Genomic DNA, 18587 nt, shown 5'->3' on the forward strand with positions numbered 1-18587 from the left:
TGGTCTCCAGGGACCTTTCCCCAATCCCAACGCAGCCAACTCCTGCTTGTCCCCAGAAGTCAGCTTAGCAGCTCTTCCTCCAAGAAGGCTTGCCCACCCACAGCTCTGGACCAGGAGTTCCCCCACCCCCATGGCCACCTGTACTGCCCCTCGCATGACAGGTATCCCATACTCCAGTGAAAGTTCCTGTTGATTAGACAGGGAGCTCTCTGGACTTGTACCATTTCATGATCACTTCCCAAACATCTAGTGCAGTGCCTGGCATGCTACTTATGTCAAATGAATAAACAAATGAACAATAATATCTGGAGAACCCTTCCTGTTCTTAAATTCTAGGGACCAACAAGACAGCAGGAGTCCGCTGGGTAGCTCTGCCCAACTCATTCAGCTTTCTTTTATAACCTAAGAATAAAAATAATCCCTGAAAAGGGAGGCATACGTTTTGAAAATAGCTCCATCATGCTGCAAATTGCCTAAGAAGATACTAAATTTTATTTATTCTAGATTTAAGGAATGAAAGTAATTACCCAATTGACAAAAACTCAAATCAGGTCTATGTACCCTTTCGTTAATATTTTATTGATTGCTACCATATTTTAGTATATTAACAATGGAGAATTTGTTTTCTTAAAGTATTCAAAATAATACATATTTGCAAAAATATTCTTAAAGCAAGTTGCCACGATTCATTTCCTGCCAAATCCATTAGGTTTTATGTTTTGTACTTCATCCCAGTGAGATTTTAATAACATAAGTCCACACTGTGAGGGAAAGTACAGTAAAATCCTAACATAATGCTATACATGTGATCCAAAAATTCATTTGCATAAAACGCCAGATCAGATATTGAAAGATTAATGAAATGACCTAGTAAGCCTTCTGTAGAGAATAAGAACACGTCTTCCATCAAATTATATCTAATGTCATATAGTTCTAGGGTGCACTACATTATTAGAAGTTTCACTGGAGTTTCCATTCTTATTCTGGGTTACCACTCTCTGACCACTTACCCTCAACATGCTCTTTTTAATCATTCAACTAATTCAGCAAGTATTTAATAAGCACCACTCTATACAAGGCTTGTATACTATAAGCCTCTTTCTTCCTTTCTCTGTATCTTTTAAAATTATTCTCAGAAAATATTTAGTAGGATATAGAACATAGTTGCACAGCATAGCTTAGGTTCTAGAACCCAACAGACCCACCAATCCACCTCTACTAGCTCCATGACCAAGAAGAGGGGCCTGATCTTTTACTGCAGACTCCAAGGCTTGTAGAGCCCTGAAGATGGTAACCAGTGCCAATTGAGACTGCATAATAGGGTTATTATGGTCAAGAGACTGTTCAACAAATGGACCTAGATTTGACTACTGGCTCTAATGATCTCTGGCAAGTTACTTAACCTGATCCTCAGTTTCCCTAGCTGCAGAATGTGACTATTAATAATATCTACCTCACAGGGTTCTTGAAAAAGTTAAATGAACTGTTGCATGGAGCATTGGTCATGGTGCCTGGCTATCATGAGTCCTCAATAAATGGCAGCTATTATGATTATGATTATGATGAGATGATTATTGCTATTATTTCAAAGTGAGATCACATAAAGCATAAAGAAGCCCAGATGATTTATGGCCTCAAATTCACTGAGCACAAAGCCAAATTTTTCCCTTTCCACCTTTTGCTGTGGCTCGATTCAATTATTCCTATCCACTTCTTTGATAGTTAATACAGAAGCTCAAACCTGGCCGGGCTTTCAGCCTTGCCCTACTCTTTCATCAGATTCTCACTGCTGCCCCGTTCCATCTAACAGAACAAAGAGGCTCTTGGTCAGAAGGGGCTCCTTGATGTTCTTTGACCTTCTCTTTTAAAATAAAACTTGTCTGGGCATTTACTGCATGAGGGATTGGGCAAACAAATAGCAATTTAAAACAGAGTTTAAAGGACAGGCAAGTGAAGTATAACCTTTCACAGCAAACTTCTGCTGCACACCTCTGTCCTAGTTTATAGCATTACAGCTAAAAAACACAGATCTCTCCAAATTGAACTTAAAAGTAATTGTCATATCAGGCTTACTCTTGCTTTTTTATTCAGGCCTGCAGTATGACCTGCCTTTTATCATTTCTGGTCCTCTTCTGAAAATACATGCTCCTACAACTTACAATATAGTATGATAGATAATAGAATTAAAAAATTTTATAGTGGGAAGGTAGCGCTTTGGATCAACATGTTCGGTCATCTGCCTGCTGCCAGGTTAGGTTCTTTTTTAAAAATTTTTTTGTAAAGACAGGTCTCATTATGTTGCCCAGGCTAGTTTCGAGCTCCTGGGCTCAAGGGATCTTCCCTCCTCTGCCTGGGATTACAAGCATGAACTACCACACCCGGCCCAGGCTAGGTTCTTAATAGTTCTGTGTAGAACATGAGAGAAGGTAATGGCCAAAGACTTCTTACCAGCTGGCACTTTGGTCTCAAATTCCAGTATTCTTTCCACAAACAGTTAACTAATATTCACTGATTACCTGTTATATGCCAGGCTGTATTTTTCTGATACTGGAACTACAATGTTGCACCCAGCATAAACATGGCCAGGCCTGCCCTCATGGAGACCTAATTGGTAAGAGCAAACACCAACCAAATAATCACACAAACTAAAGTAAGATTGCAACTCTGATGAGGGGTGTAAGGTGCCCTGACAGGTCAATCCTAGAGGATTTTTTTCCTCATGGAAGCCAGGGAAGATCCCTCTGAGGAAGTGATGCCTCCTCTGAGATCTCAGAAGCTGAAGGCAGGGTGGTGGGAGTCTGGGGACATTCCAGGCAGAGGGGATTGGCCTCTGGTAGGAAAGAGAAAATAATATATGAGGGATGGAGATGGGGAGATGGGCAGTGTGTCTGGGGCCAAGAGCATGAGAAAAGATGTGTAAGAGATGATGCTGGAGGGGCCAGCAGAGGCCAGGCTACACAGAGCTTTCTGGGACAAGTAAGGAGTTTGCGGTTTTATCCCAAGCAATGAAAAGACACTGAAAGCTTAGAGGGGGTGACTGATATGGTTTGGCTCTGTGTCCCTACCCAAATCTCATCTTGAATTGTAATCTCCATGTGTCAAGGGGGGAACCTGGTGGAAGGTGATTGGATCATGGGGGCAGTTTCCCTCATGCTGTTCTCGTGATAAGTGAGTTCTCACCAGAGCTGGTGGTTTTAAAGCATGGCACTTTCTCAAGCTCTCTCTCTCTCTTTCTCTCCCCTGCTGCCATGTAAGATGTGCCTTGCTTCCCCTTCACCTTCCACCAAGATTGTAAGTTTCCTGAGGCCTCCCCAGCCATTTGGAACTGTGAGTCAATTAAACCTCCTTTGTTTATGTATTACTCAGTCTCAAGTACTATCTTTAGAGCAGTGTGAAAACGGACTAATACAGTGACAAAGGGGGTGACCTAATCAGATTACATTTAAAAATATCTTTTTGAGTGTGGGGGCAGGTTGGAAAGGTACCTGAATGGATGTGAGTGGAACTTTCAGAACCTTTTGCTAGAGTCCCAGTTGCTTATGCTCTAGGGGAAGGGAAGGAGAGGTAGAAAGGAAGAGAGAAAAAAGTAGATTTTAGAGAAATTGTGGAGAGGTAGATAGACTTATGATATGGGAGAAATGAGATAAGAAGGAGCCTTTGGTGCCTCTTGTCTAAGGCCATTACTCAAAGCCCAGTCATGACCTTCTTGTTCTCATCATCTGAACCCTCCCAGAGTAGAGACATCACTCAAGTTCCAGAAAGCCCCTGACCAATTTTTTCATAGCAATCCCAGGAGATTACAGTGAATCCCACAGAAAACATCAAGTCCCAGGAGATGGAATCTAAGAGAGAGAAAATTCATTCATCCAGCTACCCAAGCTTTTAATCTTTCGGCTTAAATGCATCAAAATTGCTTCCTCCACCCCCAACCTCACACTGTGAATGAACGAATATCAGCCCTCCTCCCCCTGGTCTGAGCATGTCTGAGCTATGGTTTCCAAGGTGGTGCGTGCACACTTCTAAGGGGTATGAGAGGAAAACATTGGAATATTCATATTTACTTTTTATCTACAATTAGGCAGATATTAAGCTTTATTAACATTTTTAAAAGAATTTTTATACTAACTTTTAATAAACTTGTGGACACTGACAGCCATATTAGGTCAGGCAGTCACTAGACAAGTGTGGTACCCAAGGGACCCTGGAGTAAGAGTGATGTTCAAATGTTGCTGACAGTAGCGTCCAGCTCACTTGTTCACTTTCAGCACATTGCAACATGTTGCAGTTTACTTGTGCCTGGTCTAGTGGATTTACAAAGGATACTCCTTAGTTTTAGCTAAACTAATCTGCCAAATGGAATCATGACTTTACATGATGTCTTCCAGGAGACTATGGATCAAGGATAACACCAATAATAGAAGAACAAGTGAACCCATAAGAAAAGATAGGGCCAGGCCAGGCACGGTGGCTCATGCTTGTAATCCCAGCACTTTGGGAGGCCGAGGCAGATGGAACACTTGAAGACAGGAGTTCGGGACCAGCCTGGACAACATGGTGAAACCCCATCTCTATTAAAAATAAAAAAAAATTAGGCATGGTGGTGGGTGCCTGAAATCCCAGCTACTCAGGAGGCTGAGGCAGGAGAATCACTTATCCAGGAGACAGAGGTTGCAGTGAGCAAAGATCACGCCATTGAGATCCTGCCCAGGCAAAAAGAGTGAAACTCCTTCTCAAAAAAAAAAAAAAAAAGAAAGAAAGAAAAAAGAAAATATAGGGCTGATATATTTTTCCACCTCTAGAACCAGCTGTTCATAAACCACACTGCACAGTGAAAACAATAAATATTTAATCAGATCTAAAAAGAAGTCAGCCAAAAAATTAAAAATTTAGAGTATCTGAAATATGGACTTATAACTGCTATTGCTAACAATGTACCATTAAAATATAACAAATGTTAAAATTCCTCATATCTTCAAGTTTAGGTATCTTAAGTATTCATATTCAAAAGGTTTTACTTAAGCAGTGCACAATCAAGCCAGCTTGGAGACCATTGCTGTAGGGCCAGCTCCGAGCAGGACAGTCAAGCTCCCCAACGCACCTGTGTATACCGGTTTTGGGGTAATGTGCTTTCTGCCTCCACCAAAGGTCTATCGTGCTGGTCCCTGCCTCCATAGCTTTCTTCTTTGTTCATCAGAGACTCTTCCTCAGCCTCCTCTTCCTTCTGGAGAATTTTCCTCACAAAATCTCTCTTGTCCATTGGGGTTCGAATGATTTTCAGGTTATTAGTGTAGATGATTATCTTTCCAAAATCTATAATAGGTAGGGGCTAGAGAAATGGAGAATGAGCATGGAAACTTTACCACCAATCACCAAGTAGAGGGCTGCAGAACCTGTCCAACATACCAGGAAACAGCAGAGAAGGAACTTCTACCACCCAGCATTTTTGATCCCATCAGACCCCAAAGTCACAGTTCATTCCCTGGTCTGTTTGCTCTCTCTAAAAGCCATGAAAGCCAGTTTCCTTCTTCCTGTTGATGGTGACCAATCAAAGCTGAACTACTCAGAGTATGAGAGTCTGGAGGGCAGGGGCTAGAGCTTCTATTTGTACTGCATACCCCAACAGCCAATGCAGGGCTGGGTACAATGAGTGTTTAATAAATACAGAGGGACACTTTTTCATTTTATATAAATATCTCTCCAATTTTTTACCAGCATAAATAATAATATTAGTAGATACCATTTACTGAGCACTATTTGTGTCTCAGGCATCATGCTAAGCATTTTACCAACATTGCCTCAGTTTCTCCCCAAACATCCCTATGAGGCAGATGCTATAGTTTCCACATTTTAAGGTGAGGAGACTGAGACTCAGTGGGGTTAAGTGCCCCACCAAGGTGACAGAGTTACTCGGGCACTGTAACTAGAATTGGAACCCAAGTCTGTCACCCTAAAGCCCATATTTTTACCACCTATATCACACTATTTAAAAGTATTTCCCCCCCAAAAAATACGATCATAATATATACTCTGTTGCAACCTATTTTTTCATTAGCTATATAATATGAAAATCATCTATGCCAATAAATAGACTTCTAAAGCATCATTATTAATAGCTTTTGTTCTCTTGCATGGATTTGTCATGTGTTACTTAATCATTTGCTCAGGAATAAACCTGGACAATATCACAATGCAGTAGAGAGGACTGGAGGGTAACTGTTTAGAAATTACTTTAAATAGAAGACTGCCTGACTGCAGCATCTAAACAGATTTGGTTTATACAGTTCTGTAAGCAGGGAAGAGTATTTCATGCTGAGATATTTAGTTGTGTAGTGTGATTGTGACATACGGGAAAGTCATGTAACCTCTCAACTTCAGTTTGCTAATTTGCAAAGGGGCTGATATCCAGCTGGTAGGCATCACCACAATCAAGCTAGTGATTAAAATACAGAAATGCTTCCATACTGAGTGGTAAACATGTGTTGTCCTGAGACTCCTGAGTGCCCTCCAATTACCCCAGCCTCCCTTCAGGGAGCCTCTAACATCCCTAAACCTAGTGATGTAAGAGTTAATACTTAGGGACCCAAGTCTCAGTACTCTTCTCCAACACTCTATTGGCTTCTCTGCTGATTGAGCAATGTTCCTGTGGTTAAATATGTTTACTTTCATCCCTGAGGCTAATTATATCAACTTCTGGGGGTGGGAGGTACCACGAAAAACATATAAAATAGTGTTTTTATTTTATATGTTGATTGTCACAATCTGCACAATATGCAGATTGTGAGAACTGTTGCCATTGTTATTATTTAAAATTATTCTTCTGTAGTGCATGCACAATCATACTACACAACTCAATACCTCAGCATGAAGTATTCTGCCCTGCTTATAGGACTGTATAAACCAAATCTATTTATACGCTAAAGTTAAGCAGTCTTGTATTTAAAAGATATTCAGCCAAAACCTGGCTTGAGCAAGACTTCAATATTCAGGCTCTCTTTCTTGAAACACCCATGGAGTTTTCAATAATTATTTATTAAGCCACAAGCTTCCTATCTGGCCCGATTTTCTCTCCCTTTCTTCAAGGGATCGTGTAGCAGCTTCCATTTCCTATTGTTTTATGCAGGCTGGATTCTTATTTCACACTCTGGACTATCAGTTTCTGAATATCAGAAGATAAGGATGGTGGTACTTTTCGAAGGTTCCATTTCTACTTCCAGTAATAGCCAATGAGGTTCAGTTACTAGGAAGCTTTTCATCTCTAGAGCTGATTTTTTTCAAGACAAAACTCTCAATACGCTAAAAGAATCTGAGATCACCTACTCCAAACCCCTGTTTCTGAGCTGCTCAATGTCTGAGACACCCAAGATAGCAAGTTTATTTTTTGATGTACCCCAAAGATGGAGGGTCTCAAGTCACTTTTAAGGTGTGTTTAAGTTTTAGTTACCCTGATAGGCAAATTCTTCCTTGTGTCTAAGGAAACTCTATGGTTGTAATGAAAGTTCACGTTACGTGGTTACATCAAATGTCAATGGGGAACACCCAGTCCTACATGATAGAGGGCCAGGAAAAAGCCAAGAATTTTTCATTTCCTTACTAGTGCACAGAATGGCAACCTGTGTGATTGAGCACTTGTAAATACTCTTTTGTCTGTGGCAACATAACTAGAGATTATTGATCAGGCACTATTAAATCTTTCCACTGCTCTGTTTTTAAATGCAGAAAGCCTTATTGGGTACTAGAAATTCAGTGGGCTTTGGAGATAGACAGACCTGAGTTCAGATTGTATTAAAATGTTGTTTGACAACTGTATGAGGTTTGCAAGTTAGTTAATCCTTATGAACTTCCGTTTTTCCAATCTGTAAAACACTCATAGAAATGTTGTGAAGATGAAATTATGCAATATGTATAAAGTAGGTGTTCAGTAAATGTTACCTCCCTTCCTTTTCCCTTCCATTTTCTTTGAACCTTATAAACTTCAGTTTTAATTGCTTAAAATATTTTTATTATTTATAACCTTTTTCTCTACCCATCACATAAAATTTAAAAGACTCAACATTTCTTTGATAAGAACCTGCTCGTTATTACAATGGTGGGTAACATTCGCTAAGCACATAAAATGTGCCAGGCACAATGCTAAGAGCTTCTTTCTCTCTCTCTCTCTTTTTTTTTTTTTTTTGAGACGGAGTCTTGCTCTGTCACCCAGGCTGGAGTGCAGTGGTGCAATCTCGGCTCACTGCAAGCTCCGCCTCACGGGTTCACACCATTCTCCTGCCTCAGCCTCCCGAGTAGCTGGGACTACAGGCGCCCGCCACCACACCTGGCTAATTTTTTGTATTTTTAGTAGAGACAGGGTTTCACCATGTTAGCCAGGATGGTCTCCATCTCCTGACCTCGTGATCTGCCCTCCTCAGTCTCCCCAAGTGCTGGGATTACAGGTGTGGGCCACCGTGCCTGGCCTGAGCTTCTTATGTGTTATCTTTTAAAATCATCACAACAACTCTTAAGCAACTCCTTTGATTACCCTCATATCACAATGACGTTGAAGGTCAACAGGGTTAACTAGCTTGTTCGAGCTTACCCAGTAAATGGGTAGGACTGAACATCAAGCTCAGGTTTGACAGGTATCAAAGTCCTTGTTTTTTAAAAAGATATATATATATATTATCATGGTAATCTGTACATAACATAGAATTTACCATTTTAACCCTTTCTAAGTGTACAACTCAGTGACATTAAGTGCATTCACATTACTGTGCAGCCATGACCACCATTCATCTCCAGAACGTTTTCTTCTTCCCAAATTGAAACTCTGTATCCATTAAACAATGACTCTTCTTCTCCCCTGCCCCCAGCCCCTGCCAACCACCATTCTACTTGCTGTCTGTATGATTTTGACTACTCTAGGTACCTCAAATAAGTGCAATCATACAGTATTTGTGTTTTTGTGACTGGCTTATTTCATTTAGTATAACGTCTTCAAGGGTCAACCACATTGTGCATGTGTCAAAATGGCCTTCCTTTTCAAGACTGAATAATATTGTGTTGTATGTACATACCGCATCTTGTTTATCCATTCATCAGTCTATGGACATTTGGGTTCTTTCCACCTTTAGGCAATTGAGAATAATGCTGCTATGAACAATGTTGTACATATATCTGTTTGAGTTCAGAGCCCTTGCTTTGAATTATTGCACTTAATTGCTACCCAATGTGGTCTCATAGCCAATATTTACTAGGAAGTGTTTTACATTTGGATTCGTTATTGAAAAGTCATGACATTAGCTCTCATTTTCTTCTTTTTCATAAATACCACATTGACAAATGATTCCAGGGTGTGCAGCTACATGAATCCATCCTGGTCACTCTCATGCTCAGAATCTGGCTATGATTGGGATGGGGCACTTGATCAGGAAACAAAGAAAACAGAGATAATGAGGCCAAGCAGGAATCAGACCTTCAACATGGCCTCTAAAACACATAGAGTACTGTGTTTTAACCAACTGAGCCATGCTGCCATGAAGACTCATTTACCTAGATTTATAAATTCTATAGTCCTAGCTACCAGAGAGGCTGAGGCAGGAGGATCCCTTGAGCCCAGGAGTTTGAGATTGCTGTGAGTTATGATCATACCACTGCACTCCAGCCTGGTTGACAGATGAGACCCTGTCTCTAAAAAAGAAAAAAAAAATTATACATTTTCATAAATGCTAAATTTAGCACATGACTTATGAAGATCAAGCAACCCAAAATTTATCTACTGTGGCCTTGCATAAGGTTTGCATGAACTGTGACTTTGTAAATTCTAAATCTACAAATAAGACATAGTTAAAAAGAAATAGTATAAGTACAAGACTAGCCAAGTGCCTAGGACCTAATAAGCACTCAACAAATGGTAGCTATTATTATTATGTAATAATATGGTTCTCTAAAAAAAGGAACATGCCCTAAAGCAAAACATTTGTAGCATCAGAAGATCTGGATTCTTATTCTGACTCTGTACCCAATGACCCTGTAGTATCAGATGGATCCCTTAACAACTTGGCACTCAATTTTTCTCTTCTGCAAAATGGGAATGACCATACTTTGGCCTTTCTCCCCAAGGTTATAGTAAAGACCCAATGCCATAGATATAGACAGAGATAGTACATGATGACACTTTGTACTGCATACGTCACCCCATTAAGATAAGAGGTCATTCATTTCAGCCCCTTTTAATATCAAAAACAAGCCTAGTGTTATCTTCGGTAATTGTGAACATGCCCATAATTATACTTTTACCAATGCCAGTAAAGCCAGTAATACATTTGTCTGCAATAGATGTGTTATCTATTCCCTTAGGAAACTAACAATAAAAATAATTCAAGAGTAATTATCTGGCTTTCACACTTTAAAGATGAGAACACATCCTGGTGTGCTATTCATTAATAACGTGGATACATTATATAATTGTATTTTATCTTTTTTAAGAAGTCATTCATGGTCCCACTGACAGCATATATACATCTCCTATGAATTTTTGGATACCAGTGTATGTTTTCCAGGTTCTACCTTAAAAGAAAATCATGTATGGACTTTTGATTATCCATGGTACTGGGAAGTAATTGAAATTCATAGATTAAACACATTCTTCAATCGAACCATTAGCTCAAACTTCTTCCTCACATAACATATCCTCTGGCTGATTTGCGTTTCACCATCCCTTCCCAGGACTCCAACTACCCAGAGCTTATGCTAAGGAGCAATGGAAAGGAAAAATAAATAGACAAAGCAGGCAGTATGAGGAAGGCAATAGGGGTAAAAAACAAGACATGGATAAACTGCAAGCTGAGTAATTGGCTGGAGTAAAATGAGCACTTTCAAATACTCAGCTCTTTCAGGAAACAAAATGACTGCATAATTGTCTAAAACCGCAGTCTGACAACCTGAAAACCACTGCACCTCTATTTAATTTACATTCCAGGAAAACTCAGTCAAAGATCCAATTACAATGTATTACCTTGGATGGAATTTGAATACTATATATGCTCATTGCACTTTCCAATTAGTAGTCAACAAGCATGTTATTTTTACCCCAGAAATATTCGTCTAATAACAACTTCCCATTTGGTGCACCAACAGTTCTGGTTGGTACCGGAGGGGGAGCAAGACACAAATCTGAACCATTTAGGAGTTTCTCTAAACACGTTTTAGGAAGCCCTACCCTTAAAGCCTATATGCCATGCACAATACCAACCTTATGGTCATTCGCCTTGTAATCGTTGAACCGAGGCTGGCCGCCTGCCAAGGTGTAGGCATTACCCTCTCTAAACACACTGATCCTCTGAGCAGTCAGCTTAGGGGAGCACATCTGGGGCCTGGGGACTTCCCCAGACCCATAAACACCATCCATTGTTTCAAGAGACTCTTGCAGAAAACTGTGAGGGTATTCCTCCTTTGGTGACTCTAATTCCTGCCCATCCTCAAAGACCTGCTTCAATACTCGACCGCTGTAGGAGGAGGAGATTTTAAATCGTACTTTCCGGGGTTTGCCATCACTCTTCTGATTCAGCTTTTTCTCAGGGTCCTCCATCAGCAGAAAGTTGACCCTGTGGTCTCCAGCCTTCCGTGCAGCCGGTGAAACTTGGGCCTCTGAGAAAAAGGCATTTTATTTTCTCTCCTCCTGCATATAATTAATTCAAGTTGTTGCTGGGGTATGGTCAGTTTACAGCAACTGACACCCATACATTAAATATTGATAGACCCTCATGAAAAGGCAGGTGATTCTGGTTTGATGGAGTGGATGGAATATAAGACAAGATTGATTCTTCTCATAATCCCAAGCTCACCATGACTTCACCCCAACCCTAACCTTTCTTAACCTGAGGATGAAGAAGTTTATTTAGACTGAACATGTGCCAATTCAATAAGGATCAGACACTCAATTAGTTAACAAGTGTCTTCTTATTGTTAGCAATGACAATTAAAATCTAGTGAGCATTTCATAAGTACCAGAGATTGTTACATGCATTATTTTATTTCATCCTCACGATAACCCTACAAAGAAAATCTTACCTTTGTTTTACACAGGGGAAAGTGAGGCTTAGAGCCACTTGTCATTTATCTTCATCATTTGTCTGCTCTATTACACCTAAGTAAGTGACAGAGCAGGGATTTGAACCCAGATCTATCTGACTCCAAAACCCAAGATCAGCCCACACAACCAGAAGTTTTCCAGTTCTGGTTCTAGAAGAGGGAATGACGTCCTAGATACAGTGGAGGTTCTTGGAGGCTGCTGCTAAGAACAGGAGAAGGCCGAGGGTCCTGGATTCTGGGCCTTCTCCCCCTACGCTAACCAGAGCACCTCCACTTGGTATGTATTTTACATTTAAGATTTCATTTGCAATCACAGCACAAGTCCCCATTGCCTGTTGGACTTCGTAAATGCCTGACACTGAACTAGTGGCTGGAGTGAATAGCACAGAAGCATGTGACCTGGGCCTGAGAACAGTCCTACAATCCCATACAGACCTCACACAGGTGAAATAATAACCTCATGCTTAGAGAGCAAACTGCCCACAGCTGAATCCCAGAATAGCCACTCTGGGAAGGAAGTGGTCTCTAAGGAGACAAGGATGGAAGAAGGTTTGTAAAGAAAAGGGCCCTTGGGCTGGGTAGAAAATGGTAGGTTGGATGTGAGGAGCTGAAAGTGGAGTAAAGCCTTTCTCCCTGTCTTTGCTACCAGCATCACCATTTACTGAGTTACCCAAATTGACCCCTCCTATTCCCCTACAGCCATTCGCTTGGATTCTTTTTTTTTATTATTTTATTTTATTTTTTTTTTTTTGAGACGGAGTCTCACTCTGTTGCCAGGCTGGAGTGCAGTGGTACGATCTCGGCTCACTGCAACCTCCACCTCCTGAGTTCGAGCAATTCTCATGCCTCAGCCTCCCGAGTAGCTGGGACTACAGGCACACGCCACCATGCCCAGCTAATTTTTGTATTTTTAGTAGAGATGGAGTTTCACCATGTTGGCCAGGATGGTCTCAATCTCTTGACCTCGTGATCCGCCTGCCTTGACCTCCCAAAGTGCTGGGACTACAGGCATGAGCCACCGCACCCAGCCCATTCACATGGATTCTTTCACCACTGCCTTCTTTCATCTACCCCTATCACCCTGGCCCTAGGGCAAACCCTCATCACTTTGATTTTTAAAGTTGCAGCTGTCTCCCAAGGACTTCCCTACTCACCCCCAATTCCATTCTCCATATTGATGTGAGAGCAATAGTCCAAAACAACAAATCCACAGGTGTCAGTCTCTTGCTGAAAAATCTTTTCTAGTGCATCAGGGCTTAAGTCTTAACTGTTCCATGTGACAAGCAAAGCCCCTCAAAAACCAGCCTCACCTTCCTTCCTTTCCAGCCTTGCCCTCTGTCACTCTTCCAGGGGCTGCCTGGGATTGGTGTTCCAGTTACACCAACAAGCTTACCCATTTCTCAAACCCACAAGTTTCTGTCTCTTATCCAGTACTCTGTCTCCTGATTTAGAGTGTCAAATTTCCATTCCTCCTTCAAGTCACACCTCAAATGTCACTGCTTCTGGGCAGCCTTCCCACCTTCCCCAGGGAGAGTGCCATGGGACTTTCGGACCTACCGCCATTCAGATGCTTCTCACTTTCCCTTGCCCTTCCTATTTTTCCCTCCATTCAACTGTGAACATCTTGCAGTCAGAAGTTGTCCTTACTATCTGTCTATTCCCAGTGTTTATCAAAGTGCCCAGTACATAATAGAACTCAGTAATTGTTAAATGAATGACTTCAAGTGAGAGAAACCAAATACACAAAGCTTTTCAAAAAGGAATTGAGCATATTTTGTATAGAATAGTGAAGAGGTGGCTGGGCGCGGTGGCTCACGCCTGTAATCCCAGCACTTTGGAAGGGCCGAGGCAGGTGGATCACGAGGTCAAGAGATTAAGACCATCCTGGCCAACATAGTGAAACCTCATCTCTACCAAAAATACAAAAATTAGCAGGGTGTGGTGGCAGGCACTTATAGTCCCAGCTACTCGGGAGGCTAGAGCAGGAGAATCACTTGAAGCCAGGAGGCAGAGGTTGCAGTGAGCCAGGATTGCACCACTGCACTCCAGCCTGGTGACAGAGCGAGACTCCATCAAAAAAAAATAAATAAAGAATAGTGAAGAGGTAGGATCAGAAGATTTTTTTTTTAATCTACCTTTCTACTAAGGAGAGGTGTCACAGTTGTAAATTCCCTGTGTAACTGGTACAGAAATAGGTGGGAGAGAAGAACTAGGGAAACAATGTTTAAAGAAAAAGAAAGATACACTTTTCATAACATTGTAACTCCCCCAGGATGCAGAGTTGTCTGGGACACACCATCAATGAATCACAGGAGACTGAGACCTTGAACTCTCAGCCCTCATGGCAGCCAGGTGTCCCCCAGGACTACATTAGCCTTATTCATTTACTTCACTGTATAGAACAATATCAAGCTGGGCATGGTGGCCCACATCTGTAATCCCAGCTACTCAGGAGGCTGAGGCAGGAGGGTTGCTTGAGCCAAAGAGTTTGAGACCAGCCTGGGCAACAAAATGAGACTTTGTCTCTACAAAAAGTTTTTTAAAAATTATCTGGGCATGGTGGTGCTTGTCTGTAGTCCCAGCTACTCAGGAGGCTGAGGCAAGAGGATTGCTTGAGCCCAGGAGTTTGAGGCTAAAGCCAGCTACAATTATGCCACTGCACTCCAGCCTGGTTGACAAAGTGAGACCCTATCTCTTAAAAAATTGTATGTGTGTGTGTGTATATATATATATATATATATATATACACACACACACACATACCCACACACACAAACACACACATATAAATGTAACAATTATTATTTTCCTTTTTTTTTTTTTGAGACAGGGTCTTGCTCTGTCGCCCAGGTTGGAGTGCAGGGGTGCAACCTTAGCTCACTGCAACCTCTGCCTCCTGGGCTCAAGCAATCCTCCCTCCTCAGCCTCCTGAGTAGCTGAGACCAAGGCATGCAACAATTATTATTTTCTATGTGTGCCATGCCATGAAAAAGATTGGGAACTCCTAACTAGAAGAATATTTTCTTCTATCTCTCCCAGGAAACAAATATTAATAAATAACCAATAGCCTATCTTCATCTAGAAAAACCAGTGAGCTGACTTCCACAACTACTTGTCAAGTAAACATTTTCAATTGCCCCAAAATGAATGTCAGTAACAACAACAAAAACAAAGCTGGAGGTGAGTTTTCCAAGTAACATTTCTTCAACACTTTTTTATGCCATTTCCCATGTTCACAGACAGATTTTCAGTGAGCCAACCTAAAATCATGGGAAGTTTTGAAACAACCATGTTCATCTGAAAATTTTCAGACGTTGGTGTTTCCAGAATAGTCACAAATACACTTCAAGAAGAAGAACAAATTGATAAATCGAAAGCAGTTTTGGCAGTATTATCAAAAGCCTTAAAAATATTTATATCCTTGAAACCTCCTAAGAAAGAAAATACTGTAGCTCCATATATCCAAAGAAATCATGGCAAAATGCTAGTATCAGTTGACTCTGGCAACTGGGTGGAGGATTTTGAGTGTTTTTTTTTCTTTCCCAGTTTAATCATATTTTACTTGTCTGTGATAAGTTTGTCTTACTTTGATAAGCAAGAATAAAATAAATGAAAAAAATCCATTGCTTTCTACCCAATTATTTCTCTTCAGAAAATCATTTTAAAGAAAGAAAGATATTTATTTAAAGATACTCCCCTAAATATTATTCATACTGGGAAAAAAATTGAAAACAACTTAAATGTTCAACAATAGCAATGACACAATATGAAAAATTATGTAGACATTTTTAAAAGGTTAACAAAAAAAAGGAGAGGAGACACTTGTCCTTAGTAGAAAGGTCGATTAAAAAAAAAATCTTCTGATACTACCTCTTCACTATTCTTTTTTTTTTTTTTCAGACAGAGTCTCACCCTGTTGCCAGGCTGGAATGCAGTGGTGCAATCTTGGCTCACTGCAACCTCTGCCTCCCAGGTTAAAGTGATTCTCCTGCCTCATATGGAAATAATAAGAAAATAATATGGAAACAGATTTATGATACAAATTAAGTAGGAAAAGATATAACAGATTTTATGTTCTGTGACATAGAATTTATATTATAAAACTGTATAGAAGAGATCTGTTCCAAGATGGCCGAATAGGAACAGCTCCAGTCTGCAGCTCCCAAAGTGATCAACGCAGAAGACATGTGATTTCTGCATTTCAAACTGAGGTACCTGGTTCATCTCATTGAGACTGGTTGGACAGTGGGTGCAGCCCATGGAGGGTGAGCCAAAGCAGGGCGGGGCATTCCCAGTAGGGGCCGACAGACACCTCATATAGGTGGGTGCCCCTCTGGGATGAAGCTTCCAGAGGAAGGATGAGGCAGCAATATTTGCTGTTCTGCAATCTTTGCTGTTCTGCAGCATCTGCTGGTGATACCCAGGCAAACAGGGTCTGGAGTGGACCTCCAGCAAACTCCAACAGACCTGCAGCTGAGAGACCTGACTGTTAGAAGGAAAACTAACAAACAGAAAGAAATAGCACCAACATCAACAAAAAGGACATCTACACCAAAACCCCATCTGTAGGTCACGAACATCAAAGACCAAAGGTAGATAAAACCACAAAGATGGGGAGAAACCAGAGCAGAAAAGCTGAAAATTCTAAAAACCACAGTGCTCTTCTCCTCCAAAGGATCACACCTTCTCACCAGCAACGGATCAAAGCTGGATGGAGAATGACTTTGATGAGTTGACAGAAGTAGGCTTCAGAAGGCTGGTAATAACAAACTTCTCCGAGCTAAAGGAACATGCTCAAACCCATTGCAAGGAAGATAAAAACCTTGAAAAAAGGTTAGACGAATGGTTAACTAGAATAAACAGTGTAGAGAAGACCTTAAATGACCTGATGGAGCTGAAAACCATGGCATGAGAACTTCATGACACATGCACAAGCTTCAATACTTGATTCAATCAAGTGGAGGAAAGGGTATCAGTGATTGAAGATCAAATTAATGAAATGAAGTGACAAGACAAGGTTAGAGAAAAAAGAGTAGAAAGAAATGAACAAAGCCTCCGAGAAATATGGGACTATGTGAAAAGACCAAATCGACATTTGATAGGTGTACCTGAAATTGATGGGGAGAATAGAACCAAGTTGGAAAACACTCTGCAGGATATCATCCAGGAGAACTTCCCCAACCTAGCAAGGCAGGCCAACATTCAAATTCAGGAAATACAGAGAATAACACAAAGATACTCCTCGAGAAGAGCAACCTCAAAACACATAATTGTCAGATACACCAAGGCAGAAATGAAGGAAAGAATGGTAAGGGCAGCCAGACAGAAAGGTCAGGTTACCCATAAAGGGAAGCCCATCAGACAAACAGTGGATCTCTTGGCAGAAACCCTACAAGCCAGAAGAGAGTGGGGGCCAATATTCAACATTCTTAAAGAAAATTTTCAACCCAGAATTTCATATCCAGCCAAACTAAGCTTCAAAAGTGAAGGAGAAATAAAATCTTTACAGACAAGCAAATGCTGAGAGATTTTGTCACTACCAAGCCTGCCTTACAAGAACTCCAGAAGGAAGCACTAAACATGGAAAGAAATAACCAGTACCAGCCCCTGCAAAAACATGCCAAATTGTAAAGACCATCAATGCTATGAAGAAACTGCATCAATTAACAGGCAAAATAGCCAGCTAACATCATAATGACAGGATCAAATTCACACAAAACAATATCAACCTTAAATGTAAATAGGCTAAATGCTCAAATTAAAAGACACAGACTGGCAAATTGGATAAAGAGTCAAGACCCATCAGTGTGCTGTATTCAGGAGACCCATCTCACGTGCAGAGACACACATAGGCTCAAAATAAAGGGATGGAGGAAGATCTACCAAGCAAATGCACAGCAAAAAAAAAAAAAAAAGCAGGGGTTGTAATCCTAGTCTCTGATAAAATAGACTTTAAACCTACAAAGATCAAAAGAGACAAAGAAGGCCATTACATAATGGTAAAGGGATCAATTCAACAAGAAGAGCTAACTATCCTAAATATATATGCACCCAATACAGGAACAACCAGATTGATAAAGCAAGTCCTTAGAGACGGACAAAGAGACTTAGATTCCCACACAATAATAATGGGAGATTTTAACACCCCACTGTCAATATTAGACAGATTAATGAGACAGAAGGTTAACAAGGATATCCAGGACTTGAACTCAGCTCTGCACCAAGCGGGCCTAATAGACATCTACAGAACTCTCTACCCCAAATCAACAGAATATACATTCTTCTCAGCACCACATTGCACTTATTCTAAAATTGACCACATAACTAAAGCACTCCTCAGCAAACATAAAAGAACAGAAATCACAAACTGTCTCTCAGATCACAGTGCAATCAAATTTGAACTCAGGATTAAGAAACTCACTCAAAACCGCACAACTACATGGAAACTGAACAACCTGCTCCTGAACAACTACTGGGTAAATAACGAAATGAAGGCAGAAATAAAGATGTTCTTTGAA

At 40.8% G+C, this 18587-nt stretch overlaps 1 protein-coding gene across 2 annotated transcripts in view; it reads right to left on the reverse strand.

Moving 5' to 3' along the window:
* Positions 1-18587, reverse strand: part of GRXCR2 (glutaredoxin and cysteine rich domain containing 2) — a 74004-nt gene that overhangs the window by 3733 nt on the left and 51684 nt on the right. Inside the window, exons 1-2 of one of the 2 annotated variants that reach the window (NM_001080516.2) lie at positions 11231-11612; positions 5099-5326 (exon numbers count right to left, since the gene is read on the reverse strand). In NM_001080516.2, the coding sequence (NP_001073985.1) occupies positions 5099-5326; positions 11231-11566 (564 nt within the window). In that variant the 5' untranslated portion in view covers positions 11567-11612. Of the gene's footprint in view, positions 1-5098; positions 5327-11230; positions 11613-18587 lie in introns of those variants that run through there. The other variant, XM_017009708.2, reaches the window with a different exon arrangement.

This window comes from Homo sapiens, chromosome 5 (assembly GCF_000001405.40).
Source record: "Homo sapiens chromosome 5, GRCh38.p14 Primary Assembly".
Lineage (NCBI taxonomy): Eukaryota > Metazoa > Chordata > Mammalia > Primates > Hominidae > Homo > Homo sapiens.